At 42.6% G+C, this 24,417-nt stretch overlaps 1 long non-coding RNA gene and 1 pseudogene across 2 annotated transcripts in view; one reads left to right on the top strand and one right to left on the bottom strand.

The window, feature by feature from the left end:
• The window catches only part of LOC102723789 (uncharacterized), a 45,773-nt gene that overhangs the window by 21,175 nt on the left and 181 nt on the right, over positions 1-24,417 (bottom strand). Inside the window, exons 2-4 of one of the 2 annotated variants that reach the window (XR_427924.5) lie at positions 11,602-11,661; positions 10,664-10,737; positions 4,874-6,119 (exon numbers count right to left, since the gene is read on the bottom strand). This is a non-coding gene — a long non-coding RNA (uncharacterized LOC102723789). Of the gene's footprint in view, positions 1-4,873; positions 6,120-10,663; positions 10,738-11,601; positions 11,662-24,417 lie in introns of those variants that run through there. The other variant, XR_001744112.1, reaches the window with a different exon arrangement.
• RPL23P6 (ribosomal protein L23 pseudogene 6) lies at positions 323-816 on the top strand (annotated as a pseudogene).

The following is a 24,417-nucleotide window of genomic DNA, read 5'->3' as shown; positions in this document are numbered from 1 at the left end:
TGCATGAGTAAACAAACACAAAGAGGTTGACCAGCATGCTCAAGAACACACAGCTGGCACGTAGTGGAAACAGGATTCCAACTTGGGTACTTTGACTCTGGGACACAACTTCTTAACAACTATGTCATGCTTTTTTGTTGTTAAATAAGATTTTATTGCATTGAAAATTCACATTCTTTGTACAGAAAGAATATTAAGTTAAACAATTGTGCATATTGTTTGTATTCTTCCAGGGTGAAAGTTATAAATTAATTGGATTCATGGGCCTGTACAAGAGGGAAAAACACACTTAAAAAGGCCTTAAGTGCTTTTTTCTTCTTTCCGGCTTTCAAGATGTTGAAGCGAGGACGTGGTGGGTCCTCTGGTGTGAAATTCCAGATTTCCTTGGGTCTTCTGGTAGGAGTGTGATCAGTTGTGCTGACAACACAGGAGCCAAAAACCTGTATGTCATCTCCGTGAAAGGGGATCAAGGGATGGCTGAACAGACTTCCCACTGCTGGTGTGGGTGACACGGTGATGGCCACAGTCAAGAAAGGCAAACCAGAGCTCAGAAAAAAGGTACATCCAGCAGTGGTTATTCGACAACGAAAGTCATACCGCAGAAAAGATGGCGTGTTTCTTTATTTTGAAGATAATGCAGGGGTCACAGTGAACAATAAAGGCGAGATGAAAGGTTCTGCCATTACAGGACCAGTAGCAAAGGAGTGTGCAGACTTGTGGCCCTGGATTGCGTCCAGTGCTGGCAGCATTGCATGATTCTCCAGTATATTTGTAAAAAATAAAAAAAAAAAAACTTTAAGCCCATTAAAAAGTCTTAAGGTGGGGCACTTCAAAGGCAGGGGCCTATGGATTTGCCAGTGACCTTTAAAATGTGACTGTGTTGCTGAGAGTTCAATGATTATTGATGTATATTCCCTTTCTCCTCAGTCTACTTAACTACACATTAATATTGTTTCTTCCCTTGTAGGCTCTCTTTATCTTTACCTCTGTGACACAGACATCTAACTGCCTATCCAGTATCCAATATTCCTTCATAACTACAATTCCCAGTCCCCCAAAAAGCCAACAACAATAATATACCACCTACCTATCCCCACCTCTCTTATTCAGGATGGCCATCTGACTAACTTCTAACCATGAGTAAAAAATGGTGGGCAGAGCTTTCAGGAAACCCTAAAAGGGTCTGGCTCAACTGACCTGTGCCTGGTGTCATCAGGGTCCCAGCAAAGAAACGGATGTCACACTGAACTTAGTAAAACTTAGGATGGTTTTATATATGGGACTACTGACAAATGTGGGCAGAACATATGAAAATCATGAAGAACAGCATAGGAACACAATATTAGAGTCAGCTGAGCTATTATCTCTAAACCTGAACAGGTAAGAAGACAGGTACAGCAGACTACCTTGAGAAGGGTGACCTTCAAGTCAAGAGATACAGCCAGCAAGAGATGACTCTTTCGGAAGGGAGTTTGGGGGAGTACGGGGAGATATACTTCTTAGGTGCAAAGTTCTACAAATTATTAAAAATGTATGAAGTTGTGTGTCTATCACTGAAATGAAGAGATAGAGTATTTTTTAAGTTTTCTCATGCCCTTTATAGTCAATCCCATACCATACTACCAGCCCCTGGCAACCACTGATCTGTTTTCCATCTCTACTATTTTGCCTTTTCTATAACGTCATGCTGCATTTTGAATCTGGCTTCTTTCACTTAGCATAATACCTCTGCATTTATGACTAGTTCATTCCTTCTTATTGTTGAGTAGTATTCCATTGTGCCAATATACCATAACTTGTTTATCCATTCATAGTAGAACAATATTTGGATTGTTTCCAGTTTTGGGCAATTATGAATAAAGCTGTAAATATTTAGGTACAGTAGTCCCCCTTTTTTCATGGGGGATACATTCCAAGATTCCCAGTGGATGCCCAAAACTGCAGATAGTACCAAATCCTATGCCATATACTATTGTTTTTTGATCTGATAACTACTATGTGACTAATGAGGAGGTAGCACAGACAGTGTGAATACACTGTACAAGGCGATGATTCACATCCCAGGCAGGACTGAGCAGGAGAGCAAGATATTTCACCAAGCTGATCTCAACTGCATGAAACTTAAAACTTATGAATTATTTCTGGAATTTTCTATCTATTTTCAGACTCTGGTTAACCGTACGTAACTGAAACCACGGGAAACAAGACCATGGATAAGAAGAGACTCCTGTATAGGTTTTTGTGTGAATGCAGTTTCATTTCTCATGGGTATACACTTAGCAATAGGATTACTGGGTCATACGGTAAATGTAGATTTAGCGTTTTAAGAAACTGCTGAACTGTTCTCCAGTGTGTCTATACCATTTTACATTCCCACCAGTAATGAATGAAACTTCCAGTTACTCTGCAACATCACCAGCACTTAGTATGATCAGCTTTTAAAAATTGTCATTGTACTAGTTTGTGGTGGTATCTTATTGTGGCTTTAATTTGCATTTTCCCGTTGGCAAATTATGTTGGGCATCTTTCTGTGAGCTTATTTGCTACCCGTGTCTTTGAAATAGCTGTTCAAGTCATTCATAATTGGATTGTTTGTGTTTCTATTACTTAGTTATGAGAGTTCTTTATATATTCTGGGTATTCCTGATCAGGTATATGTTTTGCAAATATTCTCTCAATCTTTTTTTTATTTTTATGGTGTTTTTCAAAGAGCAAAATAGTTAAATGTATAAACTACACTTTGTCAAATTTCTTCTATGGCTCATGTTTTTTATGTCCTGTCTTAGAAATCTTTGTGAAGCCCAAGGTCACAAAGATCATCCCCTATATTTTCTTGTAGAAATTTTATGGTTTTTAGACTTTTACAATTGGGTCAATAATCCATTTCAAGTTAATGTGTGTATATGGTACAAGAGATGGGTTAACATTTGTTACCAATTATTTCATTACCATTTGTTGAAAAGACTATTCTTTCTCTGTTGAATTCAACCTTTATTGAAAATCAGTTGACCATATAAGTGTGGGTTTATTCTATTCTGTTCCTCTGATCTATTTCTCTGTCCTTTTGCCAATTTCATGCTGTCTTCATTACTACAGCTTCATAGCAAACTTGGAAATCAAGTGGTATAAGTCCTCCAACTTTCTTCTTGTTTCTCAAAATTGTTTTGACTATTCCTGTCACTGCTTTTCCTTATAAATTTTAGAATCAGCTTTTCTGTTTCTACAAAAACCTTTCTAGGATCTGGGGATTGTGTTAAACTTATAAAAAGATGTCAATTCTTCCCAAATTGGTTTATGTTTGTTTTGGGTTTTGGGCGTTTTTTGAGGTTGGGAGGGTTTGGTTTTTTGTTTGTCTTTTTTTAACTTCAGGTGTACATGTGCAGGATGTACAGGTTTGTTACGTACGTAAACTTGTGTCATCGGGGTTTGTCGTACAGACTATTTCATCACCCAGGTGTTAAGCCTAGTATCTACTAGTTAGTTTTCTTGATCTTCCCCCTCCTCCCACCCTCTTCCCTCTGATAGGCCCCAATGTGTCGTTCCCCTCTATGTGTCCATGTGTTTTCATCATTTAGCTCCTATTTATAAGTGAGAGCATGTGATATTTGGTTTTCCGTTCCTGCATTAGTTTGCTAAGGATAATGGCCTCCGGCCCCATCCATGTCCCTGCAAAGGACATGATCTCGTTCTTTTTGGGGGCTGCATAGTATTCCATGGTGTATTTGTACCACATTTTCTTTACCCAGTTTATCATTGATAGGCATTTGGGTTGATTCCATGTCTTTGCTATTGTGAATGGTGCTGCAGTGAACATACATGTGCACAGATCTTTATAAGAGAACAATGTATATTCCTCTGGGTATATACCCAGTAATGGGATTGCTGGGTTGAATGGTATTTCTGTCTTTAGGTCTCTGAAGAATCACTACACTGTCTTCCACAAAGGTTCAACTAATTTACACTCCCACCAACAATGTATAAGTGTTCCTTTGAGAATTGACATCTTAACAATATTGAGTCTTCCAATCTAGAAGGCAGTATGTCTATTTATTTAGGTCTTTGATTTCTCTCACTGTTTTAATAATTTTCAGCATAAGCCTTGCACATATTTTGATTTATCTCTAAATATTTTGTGAGCTTTTTTGGTGCTAGTATACATGGCATTTCTCTTTAAATTTAAATTTATAATTGTTCATTGCTAGTATGCAGAAATAAAATTGACTTTTGTACATTCACCTTGTATTCTGCAACCAGGATAACCTCAACAGTAGCTTTTATTTTATATTTTTTAGGACATCCTAGGTAAATAATCATGTTGTCTGCAACTAGTTTTATTTATTCCTTTCCAATTCATATAACTTTTATTTCTTTTTTTTTCTTGCCTTATTGTGCTGGCTAGACTCCCTAGTATAATGTTGAATAGAAATAGGTATTTCTCTTATATGTGTACATGATTGATATATGATAAATCTAAGCATAAAAATCTGGCCATGGTGGCTCATGCCTGTAATCCCAGCACTTTGGGAGGCTGAGGTAGGAGGATCATTTGAACCTAGGAGTTCAAGGCCAGCCTGGGCAACATAGTGAGACCTACTCTCTACAGATAATTTTAAAAAATAGCCAGGCATGGTAGCACATGCCTGTAGTCCTAGCTACTCTGGAGGTTAGGGCAGGAGGATTGCTTGAGCCCTGGAGGTCGAGGCTGCAGTGAGCCGTGATTGTGCCACTGCACTCCAGCCTGGGTGACAGAGCTGAGACCCTGTCTCTGAAAAAATAAATAAAAAAAAAGCATTAAAGAGCTCTTTCAATGTACAATAAAAAAATCAAAATGACAGAAGAGCATTTTATCATAGTTTAGTTGGAAGTTTCTTTTTTATTTCTGTTACACCTAAAGTAAAGGTGTGTTCTACTATTAAGGGTGTTAGATATGATGAAATCTTATAATAGTTAGAGCAGCTATATTTCATATTCATAGACTATGATATGAACAGAGCACCCGGAGTTGTACAATGTGGAGGCCTTGGTATTATGTTACATATGCCTGGGGGCTACAAAATTTACACTGTTATCACTTATTTCATTTAACCAAAGATGAAATGTCAGTTTAAGCCTGCTACTTGGGATCCTGGAAAGCTAAAAATGTTTGGCTAGCCAGAGACATTTACTAAATGCTGACCATGATAAACTTGAACTGGTAACTCTCAAAAACTGTAATGGGTCTGAGGCTTTACTTGCAAGCTAACAGGTTAGCCTGGCACTGTTTCATGTGTGCTTCCAGAAGACACAGAATGTCTAGGCAAAAGAAAAGGATTTTGTGACTGGTACCACAGCAGGCAGCATAGGTTTTATGTTTCTGTTGGTTCTTCTTGCCTACCAAGGATTGTGGGGCAAGGGCTGGGCGCACATGGATGCTGAGCATATTATGGTTTAGGGTCACACCTAAGAAACCTCAAACTTAGGAAACTTCAATCTAAACAAGGTTTGTAAGCAAACCTGTCTAAACTTTTTCCCAGAGAGAGATAATATCTTTGTTAACCTGGACACCAAACTGCCCTCTGCTCCAAAGGGAGACACTATTTCCATCTTCCAATGCCGTTTGTAATATAAACATCCATGAAAAGATAACCCAGAGTGTTGTCAGTGCCTCTTCTCAGAAGATGCTATCCACAGGGAGTTTTTTTGTTTGTTTTGTTTTTTTTCCCAACAGTAACATAGCCTCTATGGTCAACTGGGAAAAGTAATTCTGAGTAAGGCATGCCTGTCACTTAATTTGTCCCCAGTTGTGGCAGTCTGCCCACATGTTCAATAAATCTGTTTCTTCTTTATCTAGATCTGCAGTTAGACCACATCTCCCAAACTCTTTTGCAGTTAAATATGGCCACATGGCTCAGTTGGACAACAAAACAGATGGAAGTCACGCTGTCATCTCCAGGCCTGACCTATAAAATGTCCCCCACACAATCCTCTCTGTCTCCTCTCCTCATCCTTTTCCTACTCTGGTTAAATGCAAAAAAAGACAAATTCCTAAAAGATGGTAGAATCATGTGATGGAAGAAGCTTGGGTCTTTGAATAGTTGCATGGAGCAGTGATTCTCTTTCTTCTCCCAAGGTGCATAGAACTATGATGTAAATAAAAAAATCAATCAAGTTTTAGTGGTCTGACAATAAGTGTATCAATTATAGTATCTAGCATTATGTAGTCTAATACATCAGCCTTACTGCTATTCTACCCCAAACTTAAATAGCTCCCCCCATTACATTTGACCTCATTTATGTTTGTATTTTGTAGCTTTCTGTTAGATGTTAACAACACAAATAAGAGAGACTTTCAACTCCATTTGCTATGAATATGGTGTAATTTGTATGATTTTTGGCAGTTCAAGATGCCACCACCCAGTGGTGCACAGCAGCACTGGGGAAGCAACTAACTCTGGAAGGTGGAAGCAGGGCTAAGGGTCTTCCACTTGGCATAGTAGGTCATGGCCACTAACATCATGTGAAGGTCGGGGGCTGGAAGATGAGCAAGGAAAACATAGTATCTGTTGTATTTACTGGCATCATTATCATCTTTGAAACATCTACTGGTCCTCTCAAATACATAGGTGAGAGGTCAGCTTAGTGCACAGGGGTGATTAGTCTCATTAGTGACCAAAGCTATGGCAAAAGGACTCCACGAACACAGGCTACGTGATCCTCCCCACAGCCCCTTGCTTCAGGGAGTCAAATCCTTCCTGCCATCTATTTTTGCAAGTACAGTTTTATGGGAATACAGCCATGCTCATTTGGTTAGGGATTGTCTTTGGCTGCTTTCTCACTCCAACCACAGAATCAGTAGTTGCAACAGAGGCCAGATGGCTTGCCAAGCCTAAAATATTTTCTCTCTGGGCCTTTACAGAAAAAGTTTGCTGACCCATGGTATAGAGACTGTTACACTACTCATCGTATGTATGTATAAACTGCGGCTCTGCTGATTTAGATCACTGAATTCAATTCACAGAGTATGTTAGTAGTCAAGCCAATCATTCAGTCTAGGCCTGTAGATTCCTTCTCCAACTTCTTTGCCTGCTCATTCTATAGAAATTCTACTGGGCACAATTTGAGTTGAGGGTAATAGAGTGCTTAAAGTGATGGATGGAGGAGGAAGGGAATTTGGAAAGGAGTCAATGGATTAAGATAAAATGGAATGGGTTCAGGGACTGGATGTTCACATGAACTCAGAAGGTTGGCTTCTGGGAAGCAGGGAAGCATGAGTGCATGCATGTGACAGCCAGCTAGAAAGAGCGTGAACAAGAAAACTCAGAGTGGGTAAGGGTAAGACATTGCCTTTCTCCTTACAGAATGTGTACCTGGCAAGCCTCCAAATTTAGACCCATTCAATCATGTGTATCTCCTTAACCCAGAATAAGAATCTGATTAAAAAATAATAAAAAGTGGTTAGAATATATCTGTTCCTGGCATCTTCCCTTTCCATTCTTTTCTGTTCCAAGAACCTAAGTGGCATGACACATCTTTGGAAGAAAAAGACAAGATAACAACCAAACCTTTTTGCAGAGTCCTTAGACAAAACAAAAGTGAGATGTGGTCTCAGAGTCCTAAGGACTCCATTTTGAAGGCAAAGGGATGGCCAGTAGCCTCCAGCTTCTTTGTCCCAAAGAACCCAGCTGGACTGATATTTGTGGGAATGACACCCAGGCAGGAGAAACAGCAGGGATATGGCTCCCATTTCTGAGGCTGGTTTAGGCTTGAAGACACCTGTTGTGTTATCAAGCCCACTGTAACTTGCCAAACGTGTCATGATGTCTTCATTTAGAAAATAGAACCCAGGAAGCCCTTGCTGTCACTGACTCCCTCTGAGTGTTAAATGGCAATGTCTTACCCTTTCTCACGTGTTTTCTCTCACTCACACGCTCCCTAGCTCGCAGTTCTCACTGGCTGTCTTACGTGTATGCACTCATCCTTTCTCCCTCCCCTCAAGCCAGCCTTCTGAGTTCATCTGAAAGTTCAGTCCTTGAACACAGTCCATTTTATCCCAATCTATCGACTCTCTTCCAAATTCCATTCTTCCCCCATCCATCACTTCAAGCACTCTATTACCCTCAACACATGTTGTGCCCAGTTCTCCCTACACAATATACACCTGGCAAACCTCAACTTTGGATCAATCCAATCATTTACCTTCTCCACTCCTACAACCCCCCTACTCAGGCTGCTGGGACAATCATAGAGCAAGGAGGGTGGGAGCCACTACAAATTTCTCTCCTGCACACTCATCAGAACCTCCACTTCAGCATTATCACACCTTAACAAATCTTTCAACAGCTGCTTCTCACCATTTCCTCAGAAACTAACTATGGGTGGGCATTTATTGGTTGACTTCCCAGTATTCATTTTTCCCTTTTCTTCCCAATAGCACCCAGATTTTCCCTCGAGGAGGTGTACCTCTCCCATTCTCAATCATGCTGTTTGGGTGGGCTTGACCTCATTCCATCTCCAGGAGGAGGCACTGATGGGCTTCAGCAAATCAGCTCTCCCATTTCTGTGGTCACCTGATGGGTGCATCACAGATGAGCACACCACCCAGATGGGCTGATGAGACAAGAGGAGATGACCATAAGGGCTTCTGAGAAATATACTTCCCCTGTCTTCTTCTGGAGCCCCAGAGGAGACTCTGTCTGGGTGTTGCAATGTGGGTGTAATGTCTTACTGCTGGAGCTCATAAGGTAGAACCAGGGGCAAGAGAATCACAGGAGCTAGAGTCCTGATATCTTGAGCTACTGGATAAAACTGTGCCAACACCCTGGTCTGCCTTTAGACTTTCAAGAATACCAGTCAATAAATCTTACTGCTTTTTAAGCCAGTTTCTGTTGAGCTTTCCATGCTTGCATCTTCACTGATGCCCCCTTCCAAAATTTTACCTCTTACCCTCAAATCTTCCATTTTGCTACAGCAAATGATCTTGCCTCCCAGTTGAGGGAAGAAATGAAAGTCATCTGGCAAGAACTCTATCACCTGCTTCTCTGACACTGTTAAGTACTTCTGAATCTGAACTTGTCTTCCTCCTTCCTTAAAGCCTTTCCCCTCTACCTTCTCAGAAACTTGGCTTCTCATGTGTCTCTGCCTTTCTGCCTTCTTATCGTTGTTTTGTTTTGAGACAGAGTCTCACTCTGTCACCAGGGATAGAGTGCAATGGTGCTATCTCAGTTCACTGCAACCTCTGCCTCCTGGGTTCGAGCTATTTGCGTGCCTCAGTCTCCTGAGTAGCTGGGACTACACAGGCACTTGCCACCATGCCCGGCTAATTTTTTAGTACAGATGGGGTTTTACCATGTTGGCCAGGCTGGTCTCGAACTCTTGACCTCAGGTGATCTGCCCACCTCGGCCTCCCAAAGTGCTGGAATTACAGGTGTGAGCCACCATGGCTGGCCTCTTACTGTTCTTATGGAACAGTCCATAACTGTTCTCAACCTCACCACCTCATTTTCTTGCCTCTCTTCTATTCTTCCCTGCCAAATTTCTTGGGGAAAAGTGTTCTACCACAGAAATTTTATCTAGGGTGCATGCTTGGGGAAGGCTCCATGGAGTGTTCAGGGTCTCTACCTAGTAGACAGTTGAACATAGAAGGGGGAGCTCAAAACAGAAGCCTGGGTGGAAGACAGATTGGCGTATCGCTGGCATTTGTTATCATGGAAGCCACTGAAGTTGAGACTGCCTAGTGAGTGTGGGGAGTGTGAATAGAAGAGGGCTCAGGTGGAGCTTTATGGGACATGGGACACTTAAGGGGGAAGTGAAAAGATGCATCTCTGAATGGCAGAAAGCTTAATGGAAAGGGGAAATCTAGGAGAAAAGGCCGTCTTTGGGAGCAAAGAGAAGTGTGTTCCAAGGAGGCGATGGTTGGTCAACTGCTACCTAGAGGTCAAGTATGATATGATTGGGCAAAATCACTGGATTTGACAGTATGGGGAATTTCAGGGTGACAGGGCCAGAAGCTAGCTTTCAGTGGGTAGGAGAGTAAATTTAAGCTAAAAAGAAGAGGTGAGAGCCACTGTAGACTTTTTCTTCCTTTCCAACTATCTTCATTTAGATTTTCTCCAAAAGCAGACCCTAGACCAGTACTTGGGTACAGCTAATTTAATTGGGAAGTAAACCCCAAAATTCCAAGTGAAGTGTTGGTAAGAGAGATAAGAAGAAAGAAAAGGCAGTGAAACAGGGCACTTATGGGCAAGACTCATGTGCACAAACAACCAAGGCACAGCCCTTCTGGGGCTCCCAGGAAACTGTGAACCAGGACTCAATAGTTCCCATGGACCACATATTCACTGACTCGATGCCTTGTTGATAGACGGCTGTGGCTGGAGCATCCTTCCTGACAACACCCATCCCCTCACAGTTTGCCCAGCAAGCTCCTGTGGCTCTGAGAACACCCTCAGTGCAGGTGGGAAGAGTTTAGCATGCTGGAGCTATCAGTGCAACTGCCTTGAACTCTGGAAAGCTCAGGAAGTGTGGGGTAGGGCATCAGCCTAGTATCTGCCACAGGCAGAACCCCTTAACTACCTCACCAAGTCACATGGCTAAGGTCACAGCAGGGGACCTTTCGAAATGTAACTCAAGGCAGGCATGATAGAGACTTTAGCATAATGAGTGGATGATAATGCGATGTACTTACAGGACATTGTCTCACAGAAACTGGAGAGGTCCAATTGAGCAATAGATAACTTTTCTCAGCCCCACATTCTCTTCCTGAAATGGGAGGTAGAATTAACGGCAGGAGCAGGCAGAGGTGCAGATTTTATCACCGTGCTCTACCCTTTGACCCTTTGTTTCGAAAGCATAAGAAGGTATGTAGTCAGTGCCTTGTTAGGTCATGTTTCATTCCATTCCACAACTGCACTCTGTACACTCTATGTTAAAATAGAGAACCCAGTGACTTGACTTTTCTTGCATATATTAGGTTGGTGCAGAATTAATTGCAGTTCTTGTCATTGAAAGTGGCAAAAAGCCACAATTACTTTTGTAGCAACCTAATATCTGTACCATCATTGTTCCTCAGTTTATTGATCGTGCACCATACACCAGGAGTTGAAGAAAACATTTGCCCTAAAGGTGAGCAATGAACCTTAGACCAAGTCAGGAAATGGTGGTTACTGTATAGGAGCGCAGCAGCACGGTCCTGCAATGAGCATGGAAACAGCAGGCAAGAGCTACTCCCCCCTCCCTCCCTCCCTACACCCATCCCTTTCTCCAGAGGTCAAAGGTAGAAGAAAAACAAGGTGTGCCTGGGGAAAGAGTGAAACAGAGAGCACTGGAAGAGGCTGGCAGTACTAAACACTGAGCTGAAGCTTGGTAGCATTGTGGATCTCCTGAGCACAGTCTCCAGCTGCACTGTGAGGTCTTCCTTCTTTTGTAATGCAGAGGCAGAACGGTGAGAACACATCTCAGCCAGGGACCTTCCGAATACACACTCTGGGGGCGGGGGGAGGAACAGCAAAAACTGGGAGAGTTGGGCAACCTAGGGGTAGACTCAGGAAGAGTGATCCCTATCATGGCTGACTGTGACAAGCCAGCTGAACGACTGCACACCTGCAATCCTGGGTTTGATCTCACCTTTAATATCCTTGCCTGATCACCAGTCTCCTCACACATTTCTAAGAGCCCTCCTTGTGTCTGAAAAAGAAAAAATGTTCTGCATTAGTAACAACACGTACAGAAGCATGCATACATATGATGTTTCAAATCCTGGGGAACAAGAAAGGAGAATTAAATGCATTTAGGAGGAAGTGACTGTACACTGTTTTAGAAGTGGAATGGAAGGTTTTACCAGGCCTAAGGTCTGTGATTAGAGTTGCAGTAAACATTTTAGTTACTGTCAAACTGTCACACTCAGGACTGAGATGGTACCACTCACTGCTCAAAGTCATGCATCTCTCCTTCCTTAATTCTCCTATGGAAGCCCCTCCTCCTGTTCATCTTTCTTTCTCCAAGGAGCTATCATATAGCCTTTGCTCAGGTGTTGCCTTTGTCTTTGCCTAGCTTCTCCCTAGGCTTACCTGTTCTCCTAGTTTTCTAAGTCCCCTGCCTGTCTTCATGAAGAAAGCCAAACTGCAGTTCTAGGAAATTATCCTTGATTGATTAGCAAAATGAGATGGGAATGTACAAAATGTAATTTAAAGAAAGAAATTGTTATTTATCCCTGCTCTTTGACTCCTCAGAGATGGAGAACAGTTTTACCCTCTCTATTAGCTCATTTGAGGTCTCTATTACTTTTTATATTCTCTCTGGTTTCTGATTCCCACATAGGAAATGTCCATTTTTATAACTCACAGGCGTGAAATTGCAGAGTTCTTCTCCTAGAGGCCACCTGGCCCTCCCTAGGTGCCGACTGTGTGTTATAGGGATGTCACTAAGGGGTCTGGTGGTGCCCGACAGGGATGTTAATGAAAGCCCAAAAGACTGATAGCAGACAGATCCAGAGGTAGGATGGAGAGACTGAAAGGCCAGGCCCAGACATACTTAGAGAATACAGAAAGAAGCCAGCGGCCAGGACACAGCAGCAAGGTCAGCAGCCAGCTCCAATAAAGACCTTGGTGCATTCAGGCTGCTATTTAAAAACAAACAAACAAACCCTTAGAATGGGTAATTTATAAACAATAGAAGGTTATGGCTCACAATTCTGAAGGCTAAGATGCCCAAGATCAAGCTGCCACTAGATCCGGTGTCTGAGAGCCTGTTCCTCATAGCTCAAATGATGGAAGAGCAAAAGGGCATCTCCATCCTCTTTTATAAAGAGCTAATCCTGTTCATAAGAGAGGAGGCTTCATGACTCAGTCCTTTTCCAGATGCCTCCCCTCTACCTTTGAACTGGGGATTTCATTTCAACATACGAAATTTGAGGAAACACAAACATTCCCACCATAGCAGTAGGTGACAATACTAAGCATTCCAATATGTCAGGCATAGCTCTGAGACTAAACACTGACTTATCTGACCTTCATGTACCCATAGAAAGTTGATACTATTGTCCCCTTCCAATTATAAAGAAACTGAGGCACTAGGGGACATGACTTGCTAAGGTCACACAGCTGGTAAGTGCTAGAGACAGGATCTAACCCCAGGCATCCTGGCTCCAGAGCCCATGCTCATAACCACTGGACTATACTCCCCTTCCATCTTGAGAGGTCTGTGGGCTCCCTGGTCCACATGGCTTCACCAGGAGTCAGAGGCCTCTTAAGGCTTCTGAAAGCACAAGTCATTCCCTTCCATGGCCCCACCTTATACACATCAGGCCGGGCCAGTCTTTGTATTCCTGTAACCTATGTATGTGCTGCAGAACTCCTCCCCTGGGCTAGGCATGTCTTATCTTGCTTAGGGTGTTCAAGTGTATGGTATAATTGCTGGGAGGCTCTGCACAGGTAGGATACCACCCCCATGCTCTGATAGTACAGCCTGGTCCAATGCAACTTTCTAGCACTCAGAGCTGTTGACACAGACCAAGAGTCAGTTGCCCAGATGTTTTCTAGAGTCATGGCAGCAAGCCCCCAAGCTCACTGTGCACCATGCCTGTATTTGACCTTGTTCTAGAAAGGATTTAAAACAGACCACACAGGGAATAAGTTTATTCACACTCACAAAGTTGAGTTTATAATTTTTCCATAAAATACTCTTTAATAAATGATTTTATAAAATACTATTTCCATATTAACTGTCTACTAAATTACCACTTGGAAGCAATATTTAAATAAACTTAATCATAGGCACAGATTGGTCCAACTCTTATTACTTTTTAATTGATCTTGGCTTTTGTACCAATCAATGTCCTGTCAGGACCACACTCAAGTTTGGAGTTTATTTTTTTAATTGGGAGTTTAATAAAGTAATATTTATAAAGGTCTGGGCTGGGTGCAAGGAAACCTCAGGAGAAAGTGTGGTATTCTGGAGCTAGTGGTGTGGGTTTGGGTGTGTATTGAGGGGAGTGGTGGAGGGTGTCCCACTCCTAGGCCTGAAGAATCATGAGGAAGAGAGAGAACTACATGGGGAGGATCACCCACAGAAGCTATAACTGCAGTTGAGGGACACAGCTGTCCCAAGGCAGCCACCAAGGGAAGCAGCCAAGGGCCTGGTACCCTCACAAACTCTTCTCCCTCTCTCTAGTCTCCTGCCAGGGCTCCCCACTGGACAGGCCCCATCAGAACCAGATGGGGAGGGTCATCCCTGCAGGTCAGCCTTCTGAGGCCAGAGCAAGGTGCAGAAGATGGAGGGGAGGCCTGGTGGTGCAAATGGAAGACATCCCCATGTCAAAAGCAAAATCTCTCATTACTTTCTTAGGATCAGTGTTTCATGGCTTGATGTGGCTAGTAGGGACTGTTCCAATCTACCAAACTTCAATTGACTTGAGGAGGGAACAAAGCTGTAAAATGTGGTTCTCCTTCCTGGAGAGGTAACTAGAACTAGAAAAGGAAAGTGTGTAATCTTCTCAGTAATGAAACAGTTTATCTTGATTACCCTTGGCCCAATTCTATATTACCTCAAGTCTATTATCCCTTAAGTGTAATTCCAAAATTAAACTACTTCTGTACACTGAAAATTTTTCCATACTTCATCTGTCAACAAAACATGGCCGTGTGATGTGAACTATTTATTACCCTATTTCGTGTGAATATTTTCTTGCAGAAAAATTGCTTGGTTACTGGGGGCTTTCCTAGCCCCTGTCTTATGTTCTATATTCATATGCTTTTACATATACATACAAAATGTATATAATGTACAGTTTATGACATTTCAAACCCCAAACACTCCTAAAGTCCAAAATCTATCTGGCCCCTCAGCCTTCAGAAAAGAGACTTTGAACTTATGTTCTGATTCACATCAACTCCATAATATTCTTTAGAAAAGGGATAGGGACCACCATGCCTGGCTAATTTTTGTATTAGTAGAGACAGGGTTTCACCATGTTGGCCAGACTGGTCTTGAACCCCTGACCTCAAGTGATGCACCCAACTTGGCCTCCCAAAGTGCTGGGATTACAGGCATGAGCCACCGGGAGGCTGAGGCAGGAGAATCACTTGAACACAAGAGGTGGAGGTTTCAGCAAGCCGAGGTTGTGACGTTGCACTCAAGCCTGGGCTGACAAGGGCGAAACTCTGTCTCAAAAAAAAAAAAAAAACAAAAAAAAACAGGGTCGGGCGCCAGGCGTGGTGGCTTTTGCCTGTAATCCCAGCACTTTGAGAGGCCGAGGCAGGCAGATCACCTTAGGTCAGGAGTTTGACACCAGCCTGGCCAACATGGTGAAACCCCATGTCTACAAAAAAATACAAAAAAATTAGCTGGGTGTGGTGGCAGGTACCTGTAATCCCAGCTACAGCTACTCGGGAGGCCGAGGCAGGAGGATCGCTTGAACCCAGGAGGTAGAGGTTGCAGTAAACCAAGATCATGCCATTGTACTCCAGCCTGGGCGACAAAAGCGAGACTCCTCTTCAAAAAAAAAAAAAAAAGGATAGGGAAAGTTATGTTTTACATTTATGATTGATAGACTTTCTCTACTTAGAATGTGGCTTTATAAATTGAACTTTACAACATGTAAAGTTCTTTTTAACTCAAGCTTAGTTTTTTAAGTTTTCCTCTGCCCCTTTTGAATATTAAGAGATCGTGGAAGACAATCAAGTATAGCATAGGATTGCAGCAGGAAAGAAAGGGGAAGCCAAAGGGACACTCAGAATGTACTAAAGGGACTGTTTGCAGGGGTGTGGTCAGGGTCAAGAACACAGAAAGGATAGGGCTTCAGAGTGTGGATTTGCGAGCCGGACATGTTAACCCCCCGGTTCTCAGCTTCACCCCTTATTAGCTATGCATCACTGGGCTGGTTACTTCACCTCTTTGTGCTTCATCTTATATTTTAATAATATAGTAAAATCCTCTCTAATTGATTTCTCACAACCACCACCCTGTGAAGTAGATAAGACAGGCAGTTTCCCCTCTGACATATGATGAAACCAGAGAGATGAAGTAATTGGCCCAAGGTTAAGCAGGGAATTTGTGCCAAGTTGAGGACTGGCACAAATCAGATCGCCCCCACTGCTGAGCCAGGGCTCTTTCCAAGCCATCACCTGCCTTACTTACAGAGGCTTGCCCTTCACTGACTTGTCCCAGGAGGGAACATGTCAGGTGGCATTCTCAGCTGGGCCAAGTCTCATGAGCGTGAGGACTTCTGAGGTGTTTCCAAAAATGTCAGCCTTTGATACTTCTTGTTTTATCTCTCCACCCCGATAATTACCCCAACTCAATTTAACAAACAGCCACTGCATAATCCAGACAGTACAACTTGACCTTGCTTGCAGAGGAATTAGGCCTGAGTTTAGTGGATTTGATTGTCTTAGGGGAATTAAAGGTTATTTTCTAGTTCAAAGGTAGAGCCACGCGTGAGTTGCTTTTCTTCTAAATGCATGGGCCTTAACACAGTGAACTCTAACTCTGTAGGTGTGAGTAGAACAAAGTCAGGTGTAAAGTCATCTCTTGCCTCCCTCGGCTGGTAGAAAAGAATGCAGAGTTGGCGGGGAGGAGGTGCCCATGCCCAGATCTCTCTCCCATGCTGTCCTCTGCTCCCCTCCCAGTATCTTCCGTGAATGGACTCCAAACAGAAGCCTGAAGGCAAGGGGGTCCATGGGATCAACCTCTTGGGGCAGAGAACAGGGGGCAAAGACAGGTGGAGAATGGATCCCAGGGAAGGGTGGGGCACATGGAGAACAAATGGCCCAGAACGCCACCAATACAGTTACAGACATAAACAGCATCTCTTTCCTGTGATGGCAACAGGCAATATAGTTAAACAGCAACTCACTGTAGGAATTCACACACAACTTTTAAATTTTCTATTGCTGTGTAACAAGTTACTCCAAAATGTAACAGCTAAGAACAACCAGTATTTATCTCACCCAGTTTCTAAGGGGCAGGAGCCTGGGAGTGGCTTGGCTGGATGTTTCTGGTTCAGGATATCTTGTGAGACTGCAGTGAAGATCTCAGCAAGGGCTGCAGGTACATGAAGCTGTGACTAGGTCTGGAGGAGTCCTATCCAAAATGGTTCCCATACATGGCTGTTGGCTGGAGGCCTTCGTTCCTAACTGGCTGTTGGCAGGAGGTTCAGTCTTCGTCAAATGGGCATCTCCAGAGAACTGCTCACAGCATGGCCGCTGGCTTCTCCCAGAGGGAGCAAGGAGGAAACCACGTGGTCTTTTACTGACTACCCTCAGGAGCCTAACACCATCACTTCTGCCACATTTGATTTGCTAGAGTTCATAAGTTCAGCCCACATTTAAGGGGAGGGGAACTAGGCTCCACCTTTTAAAGTGAAGAATATTTAAGAATTTATGGACCTGTTTAAAACCACCATACACTAAGAAGATCAGTAGGAGAAAACAGTTCAGGATGATTTCATAACAGGGGTGACGGTCTGGCCTGCAAAAGACCTGGGAATACCTCAGAAGAAAGTTCTCAGTGTCCTCCAAGCCCCTCCTGTTCTCCCACACACCAAGGGTCTCAGGACTCCCTGAGAGTTGGGGCCCATCCTTCTTGGCAATCCCTGTGCCTTATTTTTTCCTAACTCATTATCATACCTACCCTACTTCCCATTATTGCTCTTGGCTACCTACTCTTGGAAAACAGTTAAACTATTTTGAGCTGAGTTATATACATGGTTTATAATGAACCCGCCATCCCTTACGGGGGTTACCTAATTCTAATAAGAGCTTTTCTGTAGGCTCAATACATCCAAAAGAGCTAATCTCTTTAATCTCGTTCATGTGAGAAAGGATGGTTTCGGTAACATGAGTAAGGCCCTCCTTGCCCTAAAACAATATCATAAAAACAACAGAGCACTTGCTTAAGCATTCCATGACTCAAGTCTCACAACAAAGCTGAAGACCAGTTTTTTATTTCCAGTCAATGAGGAGCCTAAACTAGTAGAGAGAAAGTGACTCTATGGCAGAGGTTGGATGTGAAACGTGGAGCTGATTCCCAGTGTAGGGCTCCTATCGAACCTCAGGATGAGGACCCTCAAACCAATCTCATCATCAACTCCATAGGAAAACAGCCCACTCCAGGAGCTCAGGGAAATGAGGGATAGGTAAGAGTTTATTCTATATTCTTCTCAATGGCTTGGGGAGGGTGATGTGGACACAGCAGTTATAGAGAATAATTAGGATGTCTCTAGGTCTCTAGAGGATGAAAGGTTGTGTATTAAGGCAGCAATTCTCAAATTGTTTGTCTCAGGAACTCTTTATACTCTAAAGCAGGGGTCCCAAACCCCCAGGCGTTGGACTGGTACTGGTCTGTAGCTTGTTAGGAACTGAGCCACGCAGCAGAAGGTTGAGTAGCAAGCAAGCGAGCATGACCTCCTGAGCTCTGCCTCCTGTCAGATCAGCAGCAGCATTAGATTCTCAGAGGAGCTCAAACCCTATTGTGAACTGCGCCTGCAAGGGATCGATCTGGGTTGCGTGTTTCTTCTGAGAACCTAATGCTTGATGATCTCAGGTGGAACAGTTCCATCCTGAAACCATTCCCCCACCACTGCCCCCATGGAAAAATTGTCTTCCATGAAACTGGTCCCTGGTGCCAAAAGGGTTGTGGACCACTGCTCTGAAGTATCAAACATCCCAAAAGAGCTTATTTGTTTATTTGTGTTATATCTACTTAATACCTATTTTTAACTTATTTAAATTGACAGAAATAATATATATCATATACAATGTTTTGAAACATTCATTATGAAATGGCTAAATTGAGCTAATTAACATTAACACTTGCATTTCCTCACTTTTTTGTGTGGCGAGAACACTTAAAATCTCTTAGCAATTTTCAAGATACGATATATTGTTATCAACCACAGTCACCATGTCGTACAACAGATCTTTTGAAATATTTAATTTCTATTTACTATATCAATTTATTTGATTTATAGTTATGATATTAGAAATTCAAACTCAGAAAATCTGAAAACATTTAACTCACTGAAAAATAATAATGTCCATAATACCTATTACATGTTAACATAATGCTTTATGAAAACAACAATAATTTCCAAAACAAAAACAGGGGAAAAAAAGTGGCATTGCGCTACATTTTGGCAACTTGCTTTCATGTCTGGCTTAGTAGAAGGCAACTGGATTCTCATATCTGCTTCTGCGTTCAATCTGTGAAATCACACATAGAAAACTCCTATATGGTCATAGGAGCATGAGAGTGGAAAAGACGATTTCTTTTTTTTTTTTTTTTTTGAGACGGAGTCTCGCACTGTTGCCCAGGCTGGAGTGCAGTGGTGTGATCTCGTCTCATTGCAAGCTCCGCCTCCCGAGTTCACGCCATTCTCCTGCCTCAGCCTCCTGAGTAGCTGGGACTACAGGCGCCCGCCACCACACCCGGCTAATTTTTTGTATTTTTAGTAGAGACGGGGTTTCACCGTGTTAGCCAGGATGGTCTCGATCTGCTGACCTTGTGATCCGCCCGCCTTGGCCTCCCAAAGTGCTGGGATTACAGGCAGGAGCCACCGCGCCTGGCACGATTTCTTAATATTACTATGAAACTAGTGTTGACCTCTGAAATCCACACTTTGAAAACAATCGAATTAAAGAGGTATTACAAACTCTTCTCTTAGTTTTGCTGATGACAGAATCTAAACAAGAGACTCCTAGTCAGCACCTCATGGCTCTGAGGGTATGCATGATACATGCAGATGCATAAGGCTGCCATGGCTGGTTTCAGTATGCAAGGGGAGTGATAGGTGCAAAGAAGTGGAAGAGTTGAATGGAAAAACTGGATGATACATAAGAGAGCAAGGGGAAGTTTGTTCCTGGAGTAAGGTTATTTTACTGTTCGCCAGCATGTGCGTTCCCTCTCTGAGAGAGGACTAAGCTGCTCTTCCCTTTGAAATTAGATACAGCCATGTGACTTGCTTAAAGCAGAGTGATGTGTGACACTTCCAGGAAGAAGCTGTAAGAGCCAGTTTGCTGTTTGCCACACTCTTTTTCCCTCTTGGTAACCACCAATGTTCTATGTGGATATTCGCTGCCCTATCAGGCCGGGACCCAGAGTGAGGGCAACACTGACCAGAAACAAAGTTCACAGCTAACTCTTGGATATAGTTTGGATGTTTGTCCTCTACAGATCTCATGTTGAAATTTGATCCCCAGTGTTGGAGGGTGGTGCCTGGTGGGAGGTGTTTGGGCTAAGGGAACAAATCCCTCAGGAATAGGTTGGTGTTATCCCCTAGGTGACAAGTGAGTTTTTACTGCATTAGCTTATGCAAGAGCTCGTTGTTTAATGTGACTTCCCTCCTCTCCCCATGTCATGCCTGCTTCCCTCTGCCTTCTACCATAATTGGAAGCTTCCTGAAGCCCTCACCAGAAACAGACGCTGGTACCATGCTTCTTATACACCCACAGAACCATAAGCCAAATGAACCTATTTTCTTTATAAATTACCTAGTCTCCATTATTCCTTTACAGCAATGTAAAGCAGACAAATACACCTTTCCTGGACATGTAGCCCAAATGAGAGAATAAACACTTGTGATTTTCAGCCTTTGAGATATTAGAGTTATTTGTTACAACAGTACAATCTAGCCCAGGCTGACTGACACAGCTGTCTTAGTCTGTTTTGTACTTCTATAGAAGGAATACCTGGGGCTGGGCAATTGATAAGAGGTTTATTTATCTCATTACAAGAAGCATGACATTAGCATCTGCTCAGCCTCTGGTGAAAGCTTTTGTGCTATGTCAAGATATGGTGGAGAAGATCAAAGGGGAAGCTAGCATCAGTACAAAAGGGCCAAACTGGACAAGTGTCCTGGCTTTATAACAACACACTTTCATGGGAACTAATCCCTTCCCCTGGGAACTTGCTCACTAGCATGAGAACAGCACCAAGCCATTCATGAGGGATCTACCCCCATGACCCACACCTTCCACCACTGCCACACTGGGGATCAAATTTCAACATGAGATTTGGTGGAGACAGAAAAACCATATCCAAATCATAACAGCCATCTTACAGGCAAATCAAGGATATGGAATCTGCCATTTAATGTACTTATTGTGAGCCTATTGTGCATTAAATACCATGCTAGGTGGTATGATTACAGATGATTTAGATTTGGCAACAGCCCTCAGAGGGTTTATAGTGCAGAAGGCATATAAATAAACAATGTCACTCTGTTGTAATTGCCACTATTAACAAAGGGTACTATGGAAGGGAGGAGTCCACGAATCCTGTATCAGGGAACCAGCAAGAAACGGCATACTCAGCTAAAAGTTTTGAAGGGATATTTTAATGAAGTTTTAATAAAAAAGTAACTGCTGCTCTTTACCATTAAGAGAGACTATTTTGGAGGTGTGGGCAAGGTTAAGGTGGGCGGGCTGAGGGGGGCAACAGGAATGCTGAGGCATCCAAGGACAATCAGCAGAAGAAAGCCAATCCCACCCCAGTCTGAAGTGAAGAAACAAATGTGAGAAATAGTGTTACTGGACTAAGTGGGAGGTGGAATCATGGCGGAGAGGCCAGATGACACCAACTACAGCTGTAGCCAGAGCAAAACAGGGGAGATCAGGAAGAATAGATAATCCAGCTTTTCTCTCCTCCTGCTCTCTGATCTCCTGCCATGCTCCCTATTGGCAAGATCCACCTGGAAACCAGAGGTCAGGGCACCTGGATGATGCCATCAATGCAGTTGGTAGAAGTCAATCTCCTGGTCCTCAGAGCAGGGTGGAGAAGGATCTGGAGGGGCAAATAAAGACTATCCTGAACAAGGTCCTCAAAAGAGAAATGATAGGAATAATTGATACAATATTTTTTGAAACTTTATTGCTTCATTAAAATGCTTAAAATTGCAAGGAGAGTCCACAGTTACTGATAGAATGGGGATAGGTTTGAATGAATATTCAGATGACTGGACACTTGAGGTTCCTATTAGAAGAGACAATGGACATATGGCTGGAAATCACATCCTGGATCTTTTTTTGAGGGGGAGTTGGGAGATGAAAGTCAAGTGCGGAGAAAATGGGTAGGGAATAAGGAGAAACATATCTTCCTGTCAGCTGGAGAACAGATCACTAGAGATAAATTGTAAGGTGGGAATTGCATCATATTTTTCTGACCTAGTCTCAAAAGCCATGCAGTATCACTTTCACACTGTTACAAACAAGTTACAAACTGACCCAGATGCAAAGGAAGGAAAGTTAATTCCACCCCTTCTGGAGAAAGCAAAATTCTATCATAGGGCTGAATAATACAGTAGCCAGTAGCCACACATGGCTGTTTACACTTCAATTAATGACAATTTAATAAAATTAGAAATTCAATTCTCAGTCACACTAGCCACATTTCATGTGTTCAATAGCTATGTCAGGACATGGAATATCTCCATTATTGCAGAAGTTTCTATTGGACAACACAGCTCTAGAACATACGAGACAGGAAATATTGTTGCAGCCATCTTGCAAATACAGTCTGCCACCAGGACCTAGGCAAACCAAATTGTATTAGAGAAGATAGTGCAGTGGCTCACAAGACATTGTGTACAAGGGTTGGCAATAACTGCTGCTGTTTATCACTAAGAGAGTACTTGGGTTAAAGTCTCAAAGAGAGGATGTATATGCCTAGGGGGCTAAAACTAGGGCCAATAGGAGGGTATCACAAAAGAGAGATTTCTAGGACAGTATGTTCCATGAGGCTCTTTGAGCATGTGACAAAAAGCCACCATTCCCCAGGAAAAAAAAATACAGTATTATGCATTCAAGTTCAGGGGTCTACAGAACCCTCCAAATCAATCCATGGACTTGTCACATCAGAGCCCTACTGCAGGCTGTGAGCCCTTGAAAGTATTTCCTTATTCCCAGCCATTAGCAGAGGATTCGGCCCTGATGACACTTAATCACCATATGTTGACAGAAAGGGGCACTTTTTTGCTGAATACAAGTAAGAACTTTAATAGGTGGGGAAACATTTAAGTGGACCAGACAACATCAGGAAGCCAGAAAGTTTCCCAGCACTACAGGAGTCCAAGTAGATGTATGATAATATGGAGAGGATTTCAGCCTTCAAACAGAACTGAGTAAGCCTTAGGTCTTGCCTTGGAGACCCAAGTTCTATAAAAGATGACAGTAAAGCCCAAGTGAAGGGATGATCACATACAACTTGTATGAAGAGGGTGGAATCTAGAGAGGCTCCAAGGAGCTGGTGACATTCTTGGATCAAGTTCATATGTCAGATGGCTTCTTCCCTGAGGTTGAGTCCTCTCTAGAAGGCTCTTCAAGCCTCATACATACAAAAAAAAAAAAAGTTTTTATCCTTCTCTCCCCCATACCCAGTTTTCCTGATAAATCCAGACATATCTAAACTTAGCAGTGGACAGAGCTTGAACAGTCCTCAGTTGGTCTTCAGGCCCCTTGCAAACAGACCTCTGGCATACTTGTCTCATCAGTTTCAAACACACCCCAGATACACTTTCATCCCCTACAATATATTTTCTGAATTTTGAGTATCATTGTGAGAAATTCACATTGAATCTAAGGCTAAAATCATCTCAGCTTTTCTGACAGTCCCACTGCACTTGTAAAAGTCAGTTATATTCAGTTATTTTTTCCTCTCCCACTATTCGGTCAATTCTTCAAGATCAGGAGCTATATTCCCACTTCCTAAGCATGCACTTGGCAGCTGTATGTTCCAGCCGGTGTTTTATTCTTGCAATTCCACAGGGACAGGGTTTTGGATACAACAGGCTGGTTTGAGCATAATTATTCTTAGTACATAAGCTCATTATTGTGTGTGTTATCCAAAATCTTAAAGGACTACAGCACTCTGCTTTTTATAGAGAGGAAGAGGCACACCCCACCATTCCTAACACATACTGAATCTTGACTGAATGACTGTAGAAAGCAGATTGCCCTGGGTTTGAAACCCACTATCAGCTGTGTGACTTCGAGAAAATTACCTGGTCTCTCTAAGCCTCAATGTCCTCAGTTGCAAAAAGGACATTCTATTCATACCAGGATTGTTTTAAATAACATTTAGCATGGTGCTTGGTGTATAAGAAGCATTTCAAAAATGTTGTCCACTCATTCTGTGACTTCTCATATACTCTTGCCTTCTCCACGAAAAAAAAAAAAAAAAAAAAGATTGTTAATATCCTTTTGGGGCACAACTGGAGAAGTGTATCTTGAAAGACCTAACTGACCGTTTTACAACCACAATCTGCACTATGGTGCACTGAGTGATGTGAGTCATGCAAGTGTAGGCTAAATCTTTTTATTTAGAATGTTGATATTTCACGGACTTCTGAAAATTTATTACGATTTTTTGAAATATTACATTAAAAAATTACTTACTTTGATAACCGCAGTTTACCTGGCACCCTCTTAAATTTTGCATCCAAGGCAGTGC

This window comes from Homo sapiens, chromosome 6 (assembly GCF_000001405.40).
Source record: "Homo sapiens chromosome 6, GRCh38.p14 Primary Assembly".
Lineage (NCBI taxonomy): Eukaryota > Metazoa > Chordata > Mammalia > Primates > Hominidae > Homo > Homo sapiens.
The sequence above is the reverse complement of the archived record's forward strand: the minus strand, read 5'-3'. Positions and strand labels throughout refer to the sequence as shown.